Genomic DNA, 23,938 nt, shown 5'->3' with positions numbered 1-23,938 from the left:
GGTGATCACATGCACGGGTTTTTCCTGGGTACAGGAGAGAGATTGCTGGGTTGCAGGGAAGGGCTGATGTGGGCGTGGACCCATCGGTGGTGGGTGCAGTGGCTGACGCGGATACCCAGTAGCTTCACAATTGCTGGTCTCGGGCTTGGGGCCCCATAGATGAAGCTGGTCCCTGATCTCCCGGGGGAGGCTGGATCCTGGGGGTCGGAGATTGTGTGTCTAGTGAATGAGGTCAGTAATGAGCTTGCAGTCTCAACCTTCAAGGGTTAATAATGAGGGCTGTCACTGCAGGCCAGCGGCCCGTGCTGTGGACGCCACAGGATAGGCCCTCCCAGCAGCTCTGAGATGGATGGGAGCTGTTATCACTCCCATCTGACAGAGGAGGAAACTGAGACACAGTTAAGAAACTTGCCTGAGTCTCACAGCTAGGAATTTGCAGACTCAGGCACCCCAGGGCTGTGGGGCTGGCCTGGTACCTGGCTAACCCTGCAGCCAGGGACTTGCCTTCTGTCCACTCCTGCTCTCGTCTGTCACCTGGCAGTGGTTGAAGGGGCTGGAGTGTCCTCACCTGCCCCTCACCCCCACCGCAGCCACCTCCTCCTGGAGGCAGCCCCACTCCCTTGGGGCTGTTCTGCCAAAGACCAAGGTCGTCCCGCTACCTGGCGGCAGCCCCTCCTTGTACAGGGGGCCGGCTCAAAGCCTGCGCCAGGATGCACCTCAGGAAGCTCCTGGGCCTCTGCTGGCCTCTGGCCTGAGACTGCAGGGCCTTGTCCACAGTCCCTGGGGAATGAGGAGGAGGCTTCTTGTCTGCAGGGCTAAACTCTTCTCCCATAAGCGCCCTCCCTGCAGTGGACTGGCCCAGGCTGGGGTAAGGAAACTTTCCAGACTTGCAACCTGCCCATCCCACCTGGCATCTCGCCTGTCCCGAGGCCCCATTCAGTGCAGGGGGATGAGCCGGGGGCAGAATTTTCCATGAAAAAGGTCAGCGACTGAAACATGAATGCCCCCGCTCCCAGCATCTCTGCACTCACAGCCACTCAGAGCCTTCCTGGCCAACCTTCCCTGGGCACCCAGGCAAGCAGCTGAGGATGAGGAAGCCATCCCTGAGAGTTTTCACACTTGGAGCGAAGCTGGGTCCGCCCCGCAGGGTTTGCTGAGGGTGCCCATGGCCGGCCCACGCTCCCCAGTGGCCCCAGCACACTACCCGCACGGCTCTCTGGCCTCCTCTAAATCACTGGCTATAAAAATAGTTGGTAGATATTTTTCCCCCACTTCCCATGCCGACCATTCTCTAAGGAGGGCCCATCCCAGTCACCCCTCTCCCCAGCCCCCTCGCCTCCATGTGGAAGGAATGGCATGGGCCAGGCCTGGGGTGTGGCAGGGCCAGGCCGGCTCGGGGAGGGCAGGGGTCAGACTGGACAGTGCCCGGGGCAGCAGTGGGAGGGCAGGGATGGCAGCTGCATGGGAGCCGCCTGTGCACCTGGAATGAATTGCTGCACAGCCTGAAGGATTTTAAGCAAAGGAAGAACTTAAGCTGTTTTGAGAATGAAAAGCCGACACAGTGCCTGCTCCAGGCCATGTTCCAGCGTGTGTCCCACACTTACTATGTGGCACTCCTTCTTCTACCTGAGTGCTGGATTCAGAGACTGGGCTCCAAGCCTGGCTGTGCAGTGCCAGACAGGTCCCCTAGCCTCTCTGAGCTCTAATCTGCACACCTGCAAAATGAGGATGGCACCACTCACCTAGCAAGGTGAGGATTAAATGATACATAGGTGAGGTCTGAGGTCCCAACGGCCCAGAGTTAACCCTCAGAATGGGAGCACTTGGTATTTTTAGTGGGAACACAAACACCCCCACTTAGTAAGGGAGACAATTTTGAAATTGTTTCTGAATTATCAACCACATCTAACTATTTATACTCCTGGCACAAAATACAGTGCAGGAGCCTGTATTCTATTCCCTGATGCCTTTACTTCCCCTTTAACCCATGCACGGGCACGCAGGGGGCTGCTGGGGGCTCTAGTCCCCCTGCTCTGTCAGCCCCACATACCCCGGATAAGCGTGCAAGAAGGCAAGCAGGGCGTCGGCTGGGTGGGCCTCTCGCATCCCCTTCAATTGGGTCCTAATCTTCACTGGGGTGCAGAAGTCCCGTGTATAGATAGAGTTTTTTAAAATCGTGGTTAAAATACGTAAAATAAAATTTACCACTTTGACTATTTTTAAGTGAACAATTCAGTGGCATCTAGTCCATTCACAATGTGGTGCAATCACTACCCCCAGTTCCAGAACTTTCCATCACCCCAGATGGAAATTCCATACCCATTAGGCAGCCACTCCCTGTTCCCCGTTCCCCTTCCCAGCCCTGGCAATCACCTTTCTACTTTCTATCTCGATGGATTTGCCTATTCCGGACGTTTCATAGCCATGGAACCACACAGTACGTGGTTTTGGGGTCTAGCTTCCTTCATGTAACATTGTATTGTTGAGGTTCCTCCATGCCGTGGCATGACCCAGTGCTTTGCTCGTTTTTATGGCCACATAATGTTCCATTGTATAGATGGACCACATTTGGTTTATCCACTCAGCTGTTGACAGGCATTGAGTTTGTTTCCAGCGTTTGGCTATTGTGAATAGTGCTACTGTGATCATTTGTGTACAAACTTTAGTCTAAACACCTGTCTTCGGTTCATTTGAATCTATGCCAAGGGGTGGAATCCCTGGGTGACTCCAGGTTGAACTTATTGAGGAACTGCCAAACCATTGTCTACAGTGGCTATACCATTGTCCGCTCCTATCGTCAATGTGTGAGGGTTTCAATTTCTCCACATCCTTGGCAACACTTGTTCTTTTCTTTCTTCTTCTTCTTCTTTTTTTTTTTTTTTTTAAATCATAGCCATCCTAGTGGGTGTGAGGTGGCATCTCATTTTGGTTTTGGTTTGCCCTTCCCCAGTGATTACTGAGGTTGAGCGTCTTCTCCAGAGCTTGTTGGCGGTGCGTATATCTTCTTTGTAGAAATGTCTACAAGCGCTTTGCTCATTGTAACACTGGGTTGTTTGTCTTTTTGTTGTTGAGTTGTAGTTCTTTCAGATGTGGTTCTTAAGTACTGACTTGTTCATTTACTCATTTATCTATTCCACAAACACTCGGGATGGCCACACCCGGCAGCCCGGAGACCTGGCTGAGCGCAGACTTGACACTGTCCTGGAGGGGCCGACCGTCTGCTGGGGAAGCGGGGCATGGACACGGTGGCTGTGAGGGGAAGCTGGGGACATGGTGACTGTGAGGGGAAGCGGGGCATGGACGTGGTGACTGTGAGAGGAAGCCGAGGACACGGTGACTGTGAGGGGAAGCCGAGGACACGGTGACTGTGAGGGGAAGCCGAGGACACGGTGACTGTGAGGGGAAGCCAGGCACGGACACGGTGGCTGTGAGGGGAAGCCGGGCACGGACACGGTGGCTGTGAGGGGAAGCCGGGCACGGACACGGTGACTGTGAGACTGCAGAATGAGCTCTACACCCGCAAAACCAGTGCCCACCGCGCTCCCCCTCAGTGCCAGGGAATCAGGAGCTTGAGCACAGTGGGGCTTTCACCTGGGCCCTGAAAGGGAAATGGAATATGTCAGACAGAAAAACGGAGAAGGGGCAGCAGCCAGGGGAGGGACCAGCAGACACAGCTGGGAGGCGGGGTCTTCCGAGGCCAGACCCCATGAGGCCTCTAGTTCCAGGCACAGGGGCTGGGACGGTCCCCTGGGCAATGGAGAGCTATGGATGGGCTTTGAGCAGACGGACTTGGTCAGATCCGGGTGCTGGCAGGGCCGGTGGTGGACAGCTGGCTGGTGGCGGGAAGCCAGGGCTTTGGCCATGGCAGTGATCCATTGCCACCCCCAGGGTCCACACTAAGTCCCATCAGGGTCCCCCCAGCAAGGGCACCTACCGCAGATAATGGGGGTTTCTCGGCCCTGAGCCTGCTGGGAGAATTTGGGACTGGAGAGTGTCCCTCAGGCTGGGACTGAGGCGGGCTCTGCCCCACGGCAAACAGGGTGCCCGGCAGGGTTCCCATCCATCTCATTTCCCCAGCTCGGTTTTCCGAGGATCTACAATTACTTTGGGCTGAATTCCCCAGATTCCAGCCCGCTCCCAGCCCCACCCATCCAGATGCTCTTCCTCCATGCCAGCCTGGGGCTTTTCTGCCCATTGTGCCCATGGGAGACCCAGGGAGGTCTTGGCCAGATTAGTGGGCGGGCCGGGCGGGCCTCGGGGATTGAGTGTCACCCTGGCAGCCCGGCTGCAGCACGTGCTGTGGGCTCAGGCCGCACGGGGACTTTCCAGCTGGCTGTGGGTGCTCGGCCGCCCTGGAAAATCACTGACTTATTTCCCTCAAGAAAAGGGCGGGCGGGCAGTAGGTAGAAGAAGGGTCCCCAGCACACTAGGGGCCCAGGGCCATGGGCATCAGCTTCGGGGAGCCCCCGGCGGTCCCCCCAACTCCCACATCTTGCCCCCTCACTAAACAGGCCTGATCTGTTGTTTTGAAGCCAAGCGCTGTGCTGAAACCCACTGTTGCCTGCGGGTCTGCCTGAAACCAGCCGCCCCCCTCCTTCCAGCTCACTGCCCCTTCCATGGGTGCTTAAAGCCAGATGACTGGGGCAGCCGCTGTGGAGGGCAGTCCGGCAAGTCCTCAGAAAGCGAAGGGACCACCTGACCCAGCAACTCATAGGTCCATGCCCCAGAGACTGAAAACAGGCTCAAACAGAAACCTTACCCGCACGTTCATGGCGGCATCACTCACAGTAGTCCAAAGGTGGAAGCAGCCGAAATGCCCAGCCATGAATGGATACACAAAATATGGTCTGTCCACACAATGGAATATCACTCAGCCTTACAAACGCATGAAGCACTGACCTGTGACCACGTGGATGACCCTTGAAAACACGACGCTAAGTGAAAGAAGCCAGACGCCAAAGGTCACACAATGAATGGTTCCATCCATAGGAAACATCCAGAATGGGCAAATCCATGGGAACAGAAAGCAGACTGGTGGTTGCTGGGTCGGGGAGGGGAGAACGGGGAGTGACTGATGGGTACAGTTTCCTTCTGGGGTGGCAGAAATATCTGGGAACCTGACGGTGCTGGAGGTTGCACAACACCGAATGTATTAAATGCCACAGAACTGTACACTTCAAAATGGTTCATTTTATGTTATGGGAATTTCACCTCATTAAAAAAACACACAAGGCTGGGTGCAGTGGCTCACACCTGTAATCCCAGCATTTTGGGAGGCCGAGGCGGGCAGATGACCTGAGGTCAGGAGTTCGAGACCAGCCTGGCCAACACAGTGAAATCCTGTCTCTACTAAAAATACAAAAATTAGCCGGGTGTGGTGGTGGGCAACTGTAGTACAGCTACTCGGGAGGCTAAGGCAAAAGGATGGCTTGAACCCGGAATGTGGAGGTTGCAGTGAGCTGAGATCACACCACTGCACTCCAGCCTGCGCGACAGAGTGAGACTCCGAAACTCTGTCTCAAAACAAACAAACAAATGAACAAATGACAATCCCGCTGATATCACTTGAAGTAGAGTGAGCGTGACCTGCGGGTTCTTGTCTAGGGCTTCAGGTCCTGAGAGTTGCTAGGAGATTAATGACAAAGTTCCCCTCAGTGGACCACTGCAAGGCTGCAGTGTTGCAATAAGGCCCCTGCCAAGCCCGGCACACAGTAGGTGCTCAATTTGCTGCAGGCCTAATTTCTTCCTCTGCGTGCACCCAGTCACCCTGACAGGAGAGAAAACAGCAACAGCCACCATTCCCGGTGCGGGCTTTCTCCCTGTGGTCGTCTGAGCCTTTGGTTGGGTGGTGGGGGATGGGTGTTTTATACCCCCATTTCATGGGTGTGGAAACTGAGGCTCAGACGGGGAGTGCCTTCTCAAAGTTACACACAGGTCGGAGCTGGAGTCAGTACCGGATGGGCTTGGCTGCCGGCCTTTTCAGCAGCCTGCCTGGCCCAGGTGCCATGGAGGGGCCATCGGGGAATTTATAAATGAGGGGAAAGCCCCATTGGTCGGGGAGTTGGGGTCTGCCGCTTAGAGACAGCGCAGACAGTCCCGAGTTGGCGGCTGCCACATCCCAAGCATGATGCTGTCTGATCTGAAGGGCTGTGTATCTGACTCAGTGGCCTGGAGAGCTGTGGGACTTGCGGTTGCGTGATTCTCCATTCTGAGGCTCAGAGGCCTGGGTGTGTGTGGCTGGGGTCACGCGTGTGAGTTGGGGTGAACTGGTGTGGTCTCCTGGGGTCACGCATGTGAGTTGATGGGAAACAGCCCCTTGAGGGCAGGGATCTGCTTGTGCCCTGGTGGGCGGAGCTAGTGCAGGGCCTGTGACTGAGAGGCTGAGTGGGGGAAAGGTGTTGGGGGTGAGGAGGGGCGCTGGCCGCCGCCGTCTCACGGCCTCTGTCTCCTCCCCTCCACAGAGCACTGTCATCCGTGGTGGCCCTGGGAGCCAACATCATCTGCAACAAGATTCCTGGCCTAGCCCCGCGGCAGCGTGCCATCTGCCAGAGTCGGCCCGATGCCATCATTGTGATTGGGGAGGGGGCGCAGATGGGCATCAACGAGTGCCAGTACCAGTTCCGCTTCGGACGCTGGAACTGCTCTGCCCTCGGCGAGAAGACCGTCTTCGGGCAAGAGCTCCGAGTAGGTAAGGGCGCCTCTGGGCTCAAGGGGCCCAGCCATTGTGGCCAGGGGCAGTAGGCCAGGCCACCCACTGAAGGCCAGCCTAGGCCGCTGTTCTGCACACATCTCCTGGGGGGCCAATTTCTTTGCCTTCCTGTGAGCCCTTCTGCGTGCCTGGCCTGGCCCTAGGCAGCACCACTGCTTCTGGGGCAGGGGAGGCCTCAATGGGAGCCAGGCTGTGTGCAGATGAAGGTCCTTGCTCGGGGCTGGAGGACATCGTCGTGACGTGGCCGTGGGCCCTTGGGCCTGTAGGCTGGTGGCGCGGTGGTGCTAGCGGTGCCGTGCAGTGGTTGGGGCCCATTCTTTCGCTGCCTAGCAGCCGTGTAGAGGGAGGCACGTTACCTCTTCTGGCAGAACCTCCATTCCTGTATCTGGAGAGCAGGGAATAGTAACACTTACTGCAGGGGGTAGTTGGGGCACAGGAAGTGCTGTGTGAATGTCGTAGATTCCGAGAGTGGAGCTGGGTAGAGGGAGCCGAGTGAACTGTGCAGGATGCTCCAGCATGACACGTGGAGCACGGGGAATCCAATGGCCGGAGGGCAGGGTGGGTGGGCGGGTGTGGGGAGTGGTTTGATGGACACCAAGCAATCACCGAAACCTGCCAGGTGGGCTGGCAAGATCCCTGCTGCCTGTGCACAGCCCCTGAGGCCACAACCCCTCCCTGTCCTCACAGCCTTGGGGGTAAGGCTTCATCATGCCCATTTTACAGACAAGGAGACTGAGCCCAGAGAGGGGCTTTAAAAAGTGACTTTTGGGCCGGACCTGGTGGCTCATGCCTGTAATCCCAGCACTTTGGGAGGACGAGGGGGGTGGATCACCTGAGGTCAAGAGATCGAGACCATCCTGGCCAACATGGTGAAACCCCATCTCTACTAAAAATACAAAAATTAGCCAGACAATCCCAGCTACTTGGGAGGCTGAAGGAGGAGAATTGCTTGAATCCGGGAGGCGGAGAGAGGTTGCAGTGAGCCGAGATGGCACCATTGTACTCCAGTCTGCGTAAAAGAGCAAGACTCTGTCTCAGGGGAAAAAAAAAAAAAAAAAAAAAAAAAAAAAAGGGATCTTTGGAGCCTGACCTGGGTTTGAATCCAGCTGTGTGACCTTGAACACGTCACTCGGGGCTGCTCAGGGCCTCAGCTTCCCCACTGGTGATGTGAGCTCCGAGCCAGTAGGCCCTCGTGTGGGTCCCCATGGCTCTCCCAGGTGCTCAGTAAACTGCTGTTGTGTGCATGGGAGTGGGGCTAGTGATGTACCCTGCCCTCCAGGCTGTGGCAAGAGGCAGAGGAGGGGGGGGATAACTGGCAGAGTGCCAGGCTTGCAGGGGTGCCCAGCCCATGGGCATAACATGTCCTTCTGATCCTGGAGCCGAGCAGAGCCGCAGCTGCCGGGACACAGGCCAGACCTAGGTTCTGCAGGGCTTGGAACGCTGGTGTGGGGCTGGGGGTGGCGCAGGGGAAAAGCCCCTGGGGCCCGCTTTGTGGTGAGCAGCCTGTGGGTGGCGCCTGGCACAGCGAAGAGGGTGGCACCGCCCGCTCCCTGGGGCCCCACCACCCAAGTGCAGTTCCCTCCCTCCAGGTGCCAGCTGTGGCAGGCAGGGCTGCCCATCCACCCCAGTGGGGAGGGCGTCGGCACGAGTGCTCACTCATGCCAGGGCCCATCTGCCTGCCTGGCCCCTCAGCGCTGAGCTGGCGGGCTCAGAGGCAGCTGTGGGTGCCCCTGCCTCCCGGCCGAGCCCCCGGGGAGTTGTGGTGGAGCTGAGCGTCGATCAGGTGTCCCTCGCTGTTCCTGCTAATCCTTGCTGCCTCGCTGCGCCAGGAGAGGGGCAGACGTGGAAATCGTCCTGCTGCTCGACAGAGGGCTGGGAGCTTGGACTTTATTTGGGACCATGAGACATGGGGTGAGGGACGTGTGGGCCACCCTGGGCATCACTGTGGGGTCCCCGAGCTCGCCTGGGGATCAGGCTGTGTGGCATATGGCTGTGTGTCCTGTCCTGTTCCTCGATCCTGGGAGCGCTGCATCCCGTCTCAGTCTCTTCTGCTAGGGAGCCCACCTAAGACACCCCTGTTGCTTTCCCGAGCGTTTCAGAAGCAAACATTTTGGCAGAGCTGTCCACACCCACCATCCTCACCTCACACCCTTGATCGCCCCTACTGCTCTTGGTCTGGGCCGCTTGTGACCTTCCTGGTGTCAACTTTTCCCCTTCTTCCCTGGCTTCTGGGCCCCGGCTTGTAGCCTGGACTTCTCTGCCCAGTCCCAGCTGGGAAGTGGCAGCTCCTCCAGGTGCACCTTGGCCCCCTCGCCCCGCTCTGCCCTATTGGCCGCAGGCTCACTCCTGCTCATGGCTTCCATTCCCTGCGACCCATGCGAACCTCTGGCCTGACACACTCAGCACCCGTTACTTAAATCTCCTGTCCCCAGCTTTCTCCCGGCCAGTTGTCTCAGCAGAAACCTGGTATCATTTCCCCATACACCTCAGGGCTCTGCCCTATGGCTGCAGCATGGTCTGCTTTTCTGGCCCTCCCCTGGCAGCTGTCACTGCCTCCTGCCCACACCAGCCCTAGTTGCTGAGTTAAACAGAAGCTCTTCCTCCAAAACCTGCAGTAGCTCCTTATGGCCTCAGGATAAAGTGAACTTCTTAGCCGGGAATCTCAGTAGCTGCCTCCCATATTCACCCTGGTTCCCCACATCCCTTCTGAGAATCAGAGCTTCGGGCGTATCTGACTCCTCTCTCCTCCCCAAGCACGCCAGGCCCCGTTCCCCTTCCAGGGCTCAGCTGCGGGGAGTCATGAGCAGGAAGAGGGGCTGATCAGGGAGGCCAGCCATGTCCGAGGCCAGCTGGGTGCCCTGGCATGGGCTGGGAGCTGGGCCATAGGTTGGCAGGCTGCCAGGACACTCGTGGGAACAGCCACTCAAGCAGTGCCAATTAATGATTGGCCCTGAGAAGGGGCTTGGCCTGTGTGGGTGGGACAGCCCCTTTCAGGCGTTGACCTTGGGCTGTGCCTAAATCTCGAGGGCTGAAAGGGTACCCCTTAAAAGGGCAAATCAATCCCCTGTGCAAAGTTCCAATCCCTTTTCCATCACCTGGTGTGGGTGCTTGTATGCCTCTGGGGATGGGGCGCTCACTTCTCCCCATTAGACAGATGGTTTCTTCTAAGGACCCTGTGCTGGCTTTGCCCTGGGCCCCTGGGTTCCAGTTGCTCTGCTCGCCTCAGAGGGTCAAGGCTCACACTAGGCCCCCCTCCACTGCTGTGGTCCCCCTCGTGCCTGGAGGCCTCCTGAGCCCATCCCAGGCCTATTCCTCATGTGTCGAGAGAGGCTTGTCTCTTGTGTCTTCTGTTGACTGGAAATGAGCTTAGAGGTGACTGTCCCCAGCCGAGCAGTGTTCTGCCACGGTGGGGGCAGGAGAACGAAGGGGCAGCGTGAGCATCAGGAGAACCTCGTATCCCAGGAAAGTCTGTTGGAAACCTGGGGCCCCCCAACAAGGCAGGGAGTTTCAACCAGGCACTATCATCGAATCAGGGATGTCAGCAAGGGCTTCCCGGAGGGGGTGACCCAGGCCAGACTGGAGGTGAGCGCAGGGAAGGGGGTGCCAGGTGGACGGAACAGCATCTGCTGAGGCTCTGGGGCCAGAAAGCCGAGAGCACTTTTGCAGGAATGACAGGAGCTTCCAGGGCTAACAGGAGAGGCTGGAGGGTGAGGGCAGGGCTGGAGTACCAGTGAAGCTCTGGAGGGTCCAGAAGGCATAGGAGATTCTGAGCAGGTGAGGGCTTCCCTCTGCAGGCTGCTTCCTTCCAACCACTGCGCCGCCCCCATCCCCCTAGAGCCCAGAGTCCCCCAGGACCACGGGCCTGGGCCTGGGGCAGCGACTGCGTGCTCTTGGGCCCCCTAGCCCCACCCTTGAGCTGCCAGGGAATGCTGAGTCCTGCCCATCATGTGCTAGCCTCAGACATGACCAGGCATAGAGACTGCCCCTAATCCATGCTCACGTGAGCGGCCCGGGACACCAGCACAGCTGTCACCCGCTCCTGTTTGCTTTGGGGGCGAGCTCTGCGTGGGGAGTGTCTTCCTGGGCTGCACACAGCAGGGGCTCAGCAAGGGCTGTTGGCTGCTGGACAGCCTGAGGGGCCAAGGGACCCATCTCGGGGTATCTGAGAGGCCAGGGGTCGTGTGGTGAGAGGGTGACTCCCGGGCCAGGTGCACCTGCCGCCCTGCGGGGCTTTGCAGGCCAGGCCCAGTGACCCCCAGCAGGGACGAGGTCTCGAGGGCTGGATTCTTCACTTGTTCACTCTGGTGACCCCAAGCCACCTCTGGCAGGGAAGTGTTTGTAATATGGTGTGGACCAACCGACATGTGCCGTAAGTGTAAGATATGCATGGATTTTGAAGACTCAAATCCCCAAAGCAAATACAGTATCTCTTGAATAACTCTTCTACTGATTACATATTGAGATGGTAAGATTTTGGATATATTGGCTAAATAAAATATACTATCAAAATTAAGTTCACCAGCCAGGCATGGTGGCTCACACTTGTAATTCCAGCACTTTGGGAAGCTGAGGCGGGTGGATCACTTGAAGTCAGGAGTTTGAGACCAGCCTAACGTGGTGAAGCCCCATCTCTACTAAAAATTCAAAATTAGCTGAGTGTGGTGGCACATGCCTGTACTCCCAGCTACTCAGGAGGCTGAGGCAGGAGAATCACTTGAACCCGGGTGGTGGAGGTTGCAGTGAGCCAAGATCACGCCACTGCAGTCCAGCCTGGGCAACAAGAGTGAATCTCCGTCTCAAAAAAAAAAAATTAAGTTCACCAAAATTATTTTCACTTTTCTTAATGTGGCTACTAGAAAATTTCAGCGGACACCTGCGGCTCACCTGAACCTTCCGTTGAGCGGTGCTGCACCCATAGGGGACAGGAGGGGGTGGCCCAAAGTCATCTGGTCAGGGGCAGACGGGACAATTGAACCTGGATCTGACTGTCACTCCCAGGACACTGTCCTCCAGTGTGGGGTGGGGCAGTCTGAGGGTAGAGGGTCACTGAGCAGCCGTTTTCGGAGGACAGTCAGCGCGGGGGTGGGAGGGCAGCCACCTTCATCAGGCCTGGTTGTTCATCAGCCTGCATTCCTTGAGTGTCTGCTGTATGCCAGGCCAGGGCTTGCACCCAGGACACGATGGGTGAGCACAGGCCAATGGGGCCAGGCCGGGAGGCAATGCCTGCTGGGCCCAGTCTCGTGCTGGCCACACCTTGGTGGTCTGCAGGCCCCAGGCTGACGACCCTGGTCACTCCCCACCTCCACCCTCATCTCAGGGGCCCAGCCCAAGGCAGCTCAACAGACATTTCTGAGGCTCAGGGGCCAGGCAGCCAGGACTGTACGGACAACTGGGGCCTTGAAGGTCAGGGTCAGAAAGACTTTCCTAGCGGCGAAGCTGCCCAAGCCCACTCCTGGCTCAGGGTGGGACGAGGCCGGGGCTGCCCCTCCCCGGGAAGGCAGCTCACAGGCTCCTGGGAGGACGGAGCCTGAGGGGCTATGGCAGTGGCAGGGCTGTGGCCCTTCCTGGGGGTGGCATGGAGGCCCTGTGGGCTAGGCGGCTGCTGGTCCTCCAGTCCCAGTCCTTCCACATGGCCCCTCCGAGGCCACCTGGAACTCATGCAAGTTGGGAATTTTCCATCCTCCCCAGCGGAGCCCTGAGAGACGGACAAGAGTGGAGTGGGGATGGAGTCTGGCTGCAGAGAGGCTATGGCCAAGGACACAGGCCCTATCTGCCCGGGTCCCACTGTGTTACCCTGGGTGCAGCCTGGTGCCCTGGGGACCTTGATGCCCCACCTGCCTCATGAGGGGCCGAGGTGGGGGCTGGGACTCTGCCAGGATTTGGGGTTTCTCCTCAGAATGGGGACATGGAGGTCCCCGCAGAGCTTCCCACGTGGGTTCCGTGGGCAAAGGCTCCAGAGCCCTGGGCCACTGAGGCAGGACACAGACCCCGGGGTGGGTAGGGCCCCTCCCTCGGCCTCACAGGGGCACAGCAGCCCGGCCCTCAGCCATTACTCAGCCCAACTCCTGCCGCCTTTTCAGGAGGGTCATTTCTTTCATGTCGGTAGCCCCCGCCTGGGCTGGGCCCTGTCACATGACCGCCTCAGGTCCTGTTGTCTACACATCACAGATGGGGAGACTGAGGCTCCCAAGGAGACCATGTGGCTTACCCAAGGCCATGTTGCCCCCAAGGGCCAGAGAAGCCCGCAGGCTCTCAGGGAACCGCCCGCCAGGATCCAGGTGCTGAGAGGCCCTGGGGCAGCCCCGGGGAGGAAGGGGTCTCTGTGCCACCTCACACAGGCAGTTGCTGGCTTTGCCAGAGCACTCCCGAGGGCAGGCCACCCTGGGCTGGACACAGGAGGGGCCTCCTGGGCTCCCCGAGCACCTCAGGGCTGGGGAAAACTCCCGGAAGGCCAGGTCCTTCCCACTCGGAGCCTGCTGTCCCCACCTGGGGGCCTGCCGCTTGGCGTGTGAGGGCCTCCGCTGGGTCGGAACAAAGGCCTCGGGCGCACGGGCGCCGGCGTGTTTGGACCTGGCATGACTTTTTCCAATGATCTGTTTATGACAACGGCAGGGAAGAGCTTAGTGTGGAGACGCTGACTCAGCCCGAGCCCGGGTGGGGTCCGGGTGGGGCTGGAGAGAGACAGAGGGACAGAGAGGGACCAAGGGACCCAGAGGGAGAGGGAGAAACAGGGGGGGAAGGACAGAGATGTGTGGAGAGACATACAGCAGTACACCTGGCACACACACACATGCACACACACAAACACACGCACACACGTGCACACATGTGCACACTGCACACACATGCATGCTGCACACACGCGCACACACATACACATGCACACTGCACACATACACGCCTACACACATGCACACTGCACACACGCACACACACATGCACACTGCACACATACACGCCTACACACATGCACACACGTGCACACTGCACACACGCGCGCACACACACGCACATACATGCACACACGCACACACACACACACAGCACCCACTCAGGCTGCACCCAGGCCAGGACCATGAGGCCCAGGGTCCAGGCCTGCTTGGAGACGGGTAATATTAATAAAAGCGGCCCAGACGCATCCAGCACTTTTATGTTCCTACCCGTCCTGAGCCCTCCACTGCCTCAACTCATCCACGTAGGACCCCATGAGGTGCGTGCTGCTATCACCTTCGTGTAAGCCGCAGAATTAGGTGCAGGGTGTGAGGCAGCCTGTCCAGCCCTCCCTGGCCAGAGTGCACCTTGGCCCCGGCTGGTCCAGGTCAGGATTGCAGCAGGGCCAGGCAGGCGAGGGCTCTGGGCTTCTGATCCTTCAACTGCACAAGCAGGGATTGGGGCCAAGCCGTGGCCTGGAGGCTTCTCTGCCTGTGCCTTGGTCTCTGCCTCCACCCCGATGTCCCCAGCCTGAGCTCTGTGTGTGTCAGGGATGCAGATCCCAGACTAGCTCAGGCAGTGAGTTGTCCCCCTGGGACTGAGCCCTGGCTAGGGTCAAAGGGCAGGCTGGGGTGTGGACAGCCACAGGGGGCCATTGTGGGGCCCCACCTGGGCCCTGAGCTTCTCTTCCAGCTTCTGTGCCCAACAGCCACTTTGAGTCCTGTCTAGACCGAGACCCCCAGCCTGGACACGGGTGCCACACCAGCTGGGCCGGGTAACACCAGGAGCTGCGGATGTGGCCCGGGGGTGTCTCCTCACCTCCCTTGGTCTCAATCTCTACACCAGTAAACTGGGGAGGCGGGGACAGTACTCCCCATCCAGCTCTAGGCTGTGAAGAGCCTGGGAATCAGGTGGGGTAGGGGGCAGATGGGGGCTCAGAAAACCAAGGAGCTCCCCAGCCAGCCGTGTCCCAGGGACCCCTCCCCAGCCAGGCCTCAGGGACCCCACCCCACCCTGCATCCCTACCCTACCTCAGCCCCAGCAGTCCTCCCCTGACCTATTCTTCAGGGAAGTCTATCTCACAAAAGCTCCCCTGCTAAAGGGATTTTAAAGAACCCACGACACCAGGCCTCATCCCATGGTAATGGGAAGCTGAGGCTCGAGGAGTGACGGCCTTGGCCAGGGTCACGGAGCACAAGCCCCAGTTCCATGGGGAGTTGGCCCCGGGAGGTGGGGGCTGGGCAATGCTGGGACATCTTCGCGGGGCCAGGCTTGAGTTCCCACCTGCCCCTCGCCTCTCTCCTGCCATCCCTGGGCACCTTAAGCCACCCGTGGCCGAGGCAACTCTTTCCACTTGATCCTGTCCAGCTTCCTGGTAACAGCCCCCCACCAGCTGCCCTCACTGCATTGGGGTCCTCACTGCAGAAGAGTCTGCACTCTTTTTTTTTTTTTTTTTTTTGAGACAAAGGCTGGAGTGTCACCCAGGCTGGAGTGCACTGACGCGATCTCAGCTCACTGCAACCTTCATCTCCTGGGTTCAAGTGATTCTGCTGGCTCAGCTTCCCGAGTAGCTGGGATTACAGGCCCCTGCCACCACACCAGACTAATTTTTGTAATTTTTAGTACAGACGGGGTTTCGCCATGTTGGCCAGGCTGGTCTCAAACCCCTGATCTCAGGTGATCCGCCCGCCTTAGCCTCCCAAGGTGCCGGGATTACAGGCGTGAGCCACCGCGCCCGGCCCTTCTGCACTCTTTCCTCCCTAAACCCCCTCACCCGATCCACTTGCTAATCCCGTTAGCTCTACGCTGAGACTCTGAGACCTGGCAGCTTTTCACCTCCTCTACCTGGCGGGTCATCAGCATTTCTTACCCAAACCCTTGCACAGGCCTCCCGGTGGGTGGGGTGGAGGGTCCCTTTCAATGTAAGTCAAAGTGACACCTTCCAGGGGCTTCCATCTTTTCAGAACAAAGTCCAAGGTCTTCTCTGAGGGCAACATGGTACAGCCCCCAAGGGCCGTCCCCGACTTCATCATCACTGATCTCTGCTGGGACAAACCACTCATGCTCAGCTCATTCTCACCTCAGGGTCTTTGCATTGCTGTTCCCTCTGCCTGGAGCACTGTTCCCTGAACCTGTGTTCCTCACCTCTCCCATCCTTTGGGACCCACCTTCAGCATCCCTTCCTGAGAGGAGCACTCATTGGCCACCCTGCACCCCAGTCCCTCCAGCCACCCTACCCTGCTGGCTCCTCTGTGGCTCTGACCCCTGGCCTCTGGCGGCACTGTCTGTGAGCCGCTCCCAGCCTGTCTGCTCCCCGGGTTCAGTGTGTTGGTTCTGCCCTGCTGTGTGCTCGGCCTTGCACTTGACCTTGGGCAACTACTTGATGGATGGGAGGCTGAGAGCCTCACCCCTGGGATTCTGGGAGGTCCAGCCAGGAGGGAGGCTGTACTTGGTGCCAGGGACACACAGGTGGCAATAACGTGAGTGTTACAGGCAGTGTCGCGCGTGTGTAGAGTGTCAAGAGGCTGGCACAGGCAAGCGTGGCGTCCAGGTCAGTGAGGCACAAGGCAGACTTTGCAGCTTTCCCTGTCCCGGTGGGTGTGGAGTGGGCTGAGCACAAACTCTGGGGTCCTGGTCAGATCCCGGCTCGGTGTCTCACCTGCTGTGTCACCTTGGGCCAGTCGCCTGCCTCTCCTGAGCCCAGTGTCCTAATTGTGAAGTGGGGGGTCTTAGTTCATACCCATGGGGCCTCAGAGAGGGTTTAAATTGAGTAGGACACGGGTATGAAACCCTCTGAAAGCCATCCATTGGCCCTATGTGTCCATCACAGCTTCAGTGAGATCTAATCCACATACTTCACAATTCATCCATTTAATGTGTACAAGCCCACGGTCTTTAGTATATCCAGAGTTGTGTAGCTGTCACTGCAGTTGATTTTAGAACATTTTCATCACCCCAGAAAGAAACCCTGTGGCTTAATCAGTCCCAGTCCTCTCGCCCCTGGCAACACTCAGGTGCTGTCTAACTCTCCAACTCCTGCTCCTCTGGGCATTTCATAGAAATGGAATCACACTATATGTGGCCTTTGGTGTCTAGCTTCTTTCACTTGGCATGATGTTTTGGGGTTTTTTGAGGTGGGGGTTGAGATAGGGTCTCACTTTGTTGCCCAGGCTGGAGTGCAGTGGTGCGAACATGGCTCACTGCAACCTTGACCTCCTGGGCCCAAGTGACTCTCCTGCCTCAGCCTCTTGAGGAGCTGGGACCACAGGCACGTGCACCACCACACCTGGCTATTTTTGTGTGTGTGTGTGTGTGTGTGAGTGTGTGTGTGTGTGTTTGTAGAGACAGGGTTTTGCCATGTTGCCCAGGCTGGTCTCAAACTCCTGGGCTTAAGGCATCCGCCCATCTCAGCTTCCCAAAGTGTTGGGACTACAGGCGTGAGCCACTGTGCCCAGCCGATATGTTTGAGTTTTATCCACACTGTAGCATGTATCAATACTTCATTCCTTTTTAAGGCTGAGTAATATTCTGCCGTATGGATAGAACACATTTTCTTTATCCTTTCGTCCATTGATGGACATCTGGGTTGTTTCTACCTTGGGCTGTTACAAATAAGGATGCTATGAATACTTCTGCACAATATATAAGTGGGCGCCTGTTTCATTTCTCTGAAGTGTATGCATAGGAGTGGCAGTGCTGGGTCACATGGTGACCCTACGTTTAAGTTTTTGAGGAGCTGCCCAACTTTGCCACAGTGGCTGCAGCATCTCACACTGCCACGAGCATCTCACACTGCCACCAGCATCTCACACTGCCACCAGCATACAGGGGTCCCCATTTCTCCACATCCTCACCAACACTTGGTATTGTCAGTCTTTTTTGCCTTTTATTCCTAGTGCGTGTGAAGTGGCATCTCACTGTGGGTTGGATTTGCATTTCCTTGACAGCTAATGATGCTGAGAATCTTTTGTCTGCTTATTGGATGTTTTTATACCTTCTTTGGACAAATGTCTGTTCAGGTCCTTGGCCTACTATTTTTTAGCTTTTATTTTTTGATTGAAAATTAATACGTAATATTACACATATTTATGGGGTCCATGTGATATGTTGATACATGTATACAATGTGTAACAATCAAGTCAGGGTATTTAAGATTTCCTTCCTTTAGAATATTTATCATTTCTATGTGTTGGGAACATTTCCAGTTCTCTCTTCTGGCTGTTCTGAAATACACAACATGTTGTTCTTAACTGTAGTCACCCCAGCATGCTGTCAGACACTACACCTCACTCCTTCCACCTGTGTGTATTTGTACCTCTCTTTTTTTTTTCAAGACAGATTCTTGCTTTGTTGCCCAGGCCGGAGTGCAGTGGTGAGATCTTGGTTCACTGCAACCTCCCCTCTCCCAGGTTCAAGCGATTCTCCTGCCTCAGCCTCCCAAGTAGCTGGTATTACAGGCGCACACCACCACGCCTGGCTAATTTTTGTATTTGTAGTAGAGACGGGATTTCACCATGTTGGTCAGGCTGGTCTTGAACTCCTGACCTCAGGTGATCCACCCGCCTCGACCTCCCGAAGTGCTGAGATTACAGGTGTGAGCCACAGCACCCAGCCATCTTTGTACCTCTTAACCCACCTTTCTTTATCCTCCAACACCCTCCCCAGGCGCTGGTGTCTGTCATTCCACTCTCTACCTCAATAACTTCAACTTTTTTCGCTCCTCCATGTGAGTGAGAACATGTGATATTTGTCTCTCTGTGCCTGGCTTCTTTTACTTCACATGATGACCTGCGTGCCACTGCAGGGATGACAGGGTTTCATTCTTTTTCATGGCTGAGTAATACTCCATTGTGTATCTATACCACCTTTTCTTTATCCCTTCACCCGTTAGTCTTTGTCCTTTCTAATTGAGTTGTTAACCATTTTATTATTGAGTTGTAGAAAATGTCATTTTTTTTTTTAGACGGAGTCTCGCTCTATTGCCCAGGCTGGAGTGCAATGGCGCGGTCTCGGCTCACTGCAACTTCCACCTCCCAGGTTCAAGCGATTCTCCTACCTCAACCTCCCAGGTAGCTGGGATTACAGGTGCCTGCCACCATGCCTGGCTAATTTTGTATTTTTAGTAGACCTGGGGTTTCACCATGTTGGCCAGGCTGGGCTCGAACTCCTGACCTCAGGTGATCCACCTGCTTCAGCCTTCCAAAGTGCTGCTGGGATTATAGGCGTGAGCCGCTGTGCCCGGACAAAAATGTCATTTTTTAAAAAGAGGGGCAAGTACGGGAGGAGAATTGAACTGTGTGGGCCGGAAGCACAGACCCGTGAGCACAGGTTCACATGGCAGCTGGCGGGCACTGCCTCCAAGGGTCAGCCCAGGTGTACGCCAGGGACACGTGCTGAGGTGCACACCTGCTGCCCAGGGATGCCCAAATGTGTGTCTGCCCACGAAGATCCCAAATGTGTCGTGTGTCACACCTACAGGCATGAAGCTCAGGTCAGCCTGCCCCCAGGACTGTGTGTGCCCTTCTGGCCAGATTGGAGCAATTCTCTCATTTTGCAGGTAGGGAGACAGGGACACAGAAAGGCCCCTTCACCAGTCTGAGGTCACTCAGCTGGCCAATTTCAGGGTCTGGACTTGAAGGCAGGGTGTCAGACTCTGAGCCTCCCCCTTGCTTCCAGAAGGCTCCAGGAGCATGTGTGGCCCCCAGACCTTTGCCCTCACCTCAGTCACTTGAGAACCTCATGTCCTGGATCCCCCATTTCCTGAGCTGCTGTGTGACCTTGGGGAGCATGCTGCCCACCTCTGGGCCTCAGGCTCCTTGCTGGGGATGGAGGAGCCGCACTGGATGGTCCCCAAGGGCCTTCCCAGCACTGAGGCTGCAGACTCCTGGCTCTCCTCCTAGGAGGGCACCAAGTACCTCTCCCACCTCCTCCTCCGTGCAGTTAATCAGGTCATTAGGAGCTCAACCATGGCTTTCTAACAAAAGTGCACCGGCCCCTGTGGACGCTAGGAAGTGGCAGGGAGCTTGAGTGGATGGTGAGGAGTGGCAGCTGCGGCTGGGAGGGTGGACTCAGCCCCCAGCTTTGCCCTGAGGAGAAGAGGGGGAAGCCTCATCCTGCCCAAGCCCTGGCTTTGTTCAGGACACACATCTGCTCTTTCTAGAAGCTGCTCACAAAGATCTGCCAGGGTCCCCACCATCCTCCTCATGGTCAGAGTGAGATGACTGTGGATGAGGGCGCAGCTCTGCCCCAGCACACACCCCCTTCCCTGGACATCAGGGTCTGGCTGGCACTGCAGAGGCAGGGCAGGGGGCTGCGTCTCCTCCCTCTGAGCCTGTCCTGGGCCCAGCCAGGGGGTCCTTTGAGGGCTTGAGTTCAAATAACTTACGGAAAAGGGAGCAGAGCTGGATGGCCCTTGCATGGCCAGGCAATTTCTGACCCAGCAGCCTCCATTTACCCACATGTCTCTGAGGACTCTGATACTCTGGATTTGAGGGGACAGCTGGGCAGGGCCGATGGGGCTGGCCTTGGGGAAGAGGCTGTTTCCAGCCCAGTCTGCATGGAGCACAGACAGACACCTCGGTCTGTCCTGGAGTCCTTTGCTGTGTCTGGTCCACCCGTAGCCGGCCCTGGACTGCCCACCATCTTAGTGATGTGGGTACCATGCCCATTCATCCTGTTTGCTCTCAGAGCTGGCAGCTAGGGCTGTGCAGCAAGGTGAGGATTTTGAGTTCCATGTATCAAATGGGAACACAGGCTCAGAGAGGGCTGGTAACTTGCCGAGGCACCAGAGATAGCCTGCACTGGAAACAGTGAATCCTGCCGCAGGGCTGGAACCTTCAGGACCATTACTCAGAAACCCACCCAGTGCTCTTGAGGGCTGTGGGGTGAGGGGTGGCCAGAATATAGTCTGCTCTGGCATTTTCTAGGGATACTGCTGGATGCTGCTGCTGGCTCTAGAATCTGGGGGTACAGACCTGTGCTTGGGTAGGCTGTGGGTCTTCAGAGAGGCCCCTAGGCCCCCCGAGACCCAAGTGTACCAGCAGGACAGCTGCCGGCCCCAAACAGAGCATCCGTGCTGCCCTCATCCAGCTTCCCCATCACCACACACATCTAGGGCAGCTGCTGAGCTCAGATGGCTTTCGTCACTGCCATGGGCCTATTGCAAATCCCTTCCTGCTTTGAAGGCTCGGTTTTCCCATCTGTGAAATGGGTCTGATCAGAATGGGGCTGTCTTGGAGATAAGGTGGTGTGGGGGAGGTGCCCAGTCCAGACCTGCTCATGCATGGGATTTGGGAAACAGCGATGGGTGGGAGGTACAGAAAAGAATCAGATGTGGATCCTGCCTGCAGCCTGAGGGGCACCCAGTGAGAGCCCAGGGGAGGGTGTGCCCACTACAGAGGGCATTCGGGGAGGAGGGAGCCTCCCTCCCTGCGTCCAGAGCCTGAGGAGTGTGTGGATATGTGGGAGGGTGGGCAGGTATTCCAGGAAGGGAGGGGGCTGCTGTCCCCCAGGGCAGGCGGCAGGAAGCCAGCAGGTCCTTTATTCAGGAGTAGTTACTGTGCACCAGAGGTGGCTGCCCAACCTGCAGGCAGGCCACGCTGGGCTGCAGGCAGTGGTGGGCGAGGAGCGGTGGGGTCAGGCCTCTGGGGCCTTGGGGGCCAGGCCAAGGCACTGGAAGTCGTCTCAGAGGCCTTGGGGGCCACTGACAGCTGCTGAGCAAGGCACATGGGTCCAGGCTGTCTGCACCCACTGCAGAGGACCGGCTTCTAAGTCTAAGCACTGGCTCGCTGTCAGCCTGGAGGAAGGATGGCGTGTGGGCGGACTGGCAAGGTGCCCAGTCACGGCCCCAGGAGGGACTTGGGGAGGGACACGGGGGAAGCCTGCAGCCCTTCTGCCCTTCCCACTACACACCTAGGCACACCATGACAAAGCCCTCGGAGTGGGCGTCTAGGTCTGTAACATGGGGTAACGGGCCCTCCCCCGTGGGCTGTTGTGAGAATTAAACCAGACAACACAGGCAACGTGCCGGGCGCACGGGAGCCCACAGTCCACGGCAGCGACTCTCGCCGGACCTAAGGTCGTTCTTACTGATTGTGCCAAAACTATGACTCTCTGCAGCTCACCTCCCCCTTGTCTCCATGACGAGAGACCAGAGGGTTTGGCTCATTAAAAGCAAATAAAAAAGGAATTAGCAGGAGCGGCAGGCGATGAGTAACCGGTGAGTAACTGAGTCTGAGCCTGGGGCAGGCATAGCCAGGTGAGAGCAGGCGCTTGCGGGAGGCTGGAAGGGAGGCTTGTGGGAAGTGTCCTCCAAGGGTGCAAACCCAGCCGTGGATCTGCCAGCCTGCTCAGGGACTTCAGGACAGTGGCATCCCCTGACCCGCTCTGCAGCCTTCCTATGGGGCAGGAAGAGGAGGGTCACAGGCTGTTGTTCCAGGACCTCTGAGGGGACATCCACATCTGTCCTCAAGGTCCACCGGCTGGGCCCGCACAATCATTTGGGGTTCCTAGACCCCCTCCATCGGGTGACACATGCCCACTCCAGAGCCAGCTCAGCCTCCCTAGAGCTCCTACCCAGAGCCTGCCTACAGCTGCGCCTTTCCCCCAGGTCCACAGACTGTCCACAGGCAGCATCTTCCCTGGGGGCTGCATAGCCCACATCCCCCCTCTCCTCCTGCCCCAGGTCACCTTAGCCTCAGAGAGGCCAAGCTGGGGGCAGAAGGACCTTCCAGGGCCCCCGACCCCAGGCACTTTGCTCCTCCGTCAGCCTTCCTGGTCTTTGAATTCATTCCCTGGGTTTGAATCTTGCTCCAGCCACTCTCTGTGCCTCTGCTTCCTCCTCTGTAAACCGGGAATCATGGTTGGACGCGCCTCATCCTAACGTCCAGGTGAAATGGGAGCGCATGTGAGGGCTGGGTGTGCGCCCGGCGCATGTGGAGAGCCCTGAGGGTGGGCTACGCTGTTGCTGGTGCCGACCGGCCTCTGAATGTTCCGGAATCCACGCCTGTGTGGCCAGACAAGTGCCCTGACATCCAGCCCTCCCCAGCAGCTGGCCCTGGCACCTGGACAGAAAGTGCCACCTGCTTGCGAGACATTCTCCCCCTCCTCTGTGGCCACTCTTGACCTCACCAAACCCTTCCACAGCTCAGCATCTTTGCCTCTGTGTGCCCAGGCCGGGAGTGCACGCCTGTCACAGCCACACATACACCACACACACACAGCAAGCGAATCCATGCTCCTTGTTAAGATTGTACCCACTTAAGATGTAACCTCCTCCAGGAAGCCTTCCTTGACTCCACTCCACGGAGGTAGGTCAGTGAATCCTTTGAGGTGCCATGATCCCTCTGTGGCCCTTCTCCACCCTTTACTGGGATCCCCCTCTTGGTTTATTGCCCCCTCCCCCTACCCCCATGAGATTTCTGAGGCTTTCTTGCCAGTGGGCCCTGTTGTGCTTGGGGAATGCAGACAGAACGGGGCGTTTAATACCCCACTTCACACCTCATGCATGGGCTTCCCTTCGCATCATCTTGACCTAATTTAGACTCGGGGAAGTGGGTTCCTATATCCTCCTGGCCCTGGCCCAGGCAGGGAGCGGGCAGCGTGGGTAGGCAGTGGCCAGAAGAGGAGAGGCTGGCAGGATGAGGCCCTTCAAAGGCAGGGGCTGTGCTGCCTGCAGCTCAGAGGAGGCTGATCATTGCAGTCTCGGACCTTGCTGGGGAGGGAGGGATGCTGGACACCATCCTCCCCTTAGTTCTTCTCAGGAAGGAAGTTCCCGGGAAGCTGTGGCTCCCTCCATGACGGCAGACAGACAGCCTACCAAGGTCTTCTCCTAAGGCTGGTGGGCCCCATCCCAGTCCTCACCCTGATGGAAGATACCCTAGGGGAAGAGGGACCCCCACCTGGCTGAGCCCCCAGCAGGCTGCGGGCAAGGAAGTGGCCCCAGAGCATGCACACAGCCCCTAGCACAAAGCTGGGCATGCCGTTGGTGCTCAGTAGTTGTTCATAGAACAGACCTGACTTGCCTCTCTATCTGCGGGCTGTCACCTCAGCCCCAATAACAGGCACAGCAGTGGGCAACTGAGGGCTGTGCAGGTGCTCGCGGGTGCTGGGCAGGGGACTGCACCATGCCAGCAGTGTGAGTCTCCAGCTGCCCTCTCCTGGGCTGAGCACTGTCCCTGTTCTTCCTGTTGCTGAGATGGGCAGGGAGGTTCCCACTCACTGGAGTTTGGCTCTTGGTCCTCCAGCTGGCATGGTTGAGCCTGCTCGGTGTCCACATGGACCAGGCGCTGGGGACATAGA

The 23,938-nt window shown here is 57.6% G+C and overlaps 1 protein-coding gene across 2 annotated transcripts in view, besides 1 other annotated feature; it reads left to right on the top strand.

Annotated features, from left to right (window-relative positions):
* The window catches only part of WNT7B (Wnt family member 7B), a 56,797-nt gene that overhangs the window by 20,555 nt on the left and 12,304 nt on the right, over positions 1-23,938 (top strand). For both annotated transcript variants that reach the window (NM_058238.3, NM_001410806.1), the window contains exon 2: positions 6,462-6,688. In NM_058238.3, coding sequence (NP_478679.1) covers positions 6,462-6,688 — 227 coding nt within the window. The remainder of the gene's footprint in view (positions 1-6,461; positions 6,689-23,938) is intronic.
* Positions 20,913-21,413: an enhancer, noted in NCBI's record as "H3K4me1 hESC enhancer chr22:46331075-46331575 (GRCh37/hg19 assembly coordinates)". NCBI's record gives its function as "activates a minimal SCP1, AML or CMV promoter by ChIP-STARR-seq in naive H9 embryonic stem cells {active_cell/tissue: H9 hESC(naive)}" and the evidence as "EXISTENCE:reporter gene assay evidence [ECO:0000049][PMID:30033119]".

This window comes from Homo sapiens, chromosome 22 (assembly GCF_000001405.40).
Source record: "Homo sapiens chromosome 22, GRCh38.p14 Primary Assembly".
In the NCBI taxonomy this organism is placed as follows: domain Eukaryota; kingdom Metazoa; phylum Chordata; class Mammalia; order Primates; family Hominidae; genus Homo; species Homo sapiens.
This window is presented reverse-complemented; position numbering and strand designations above follow the sequence as displayed.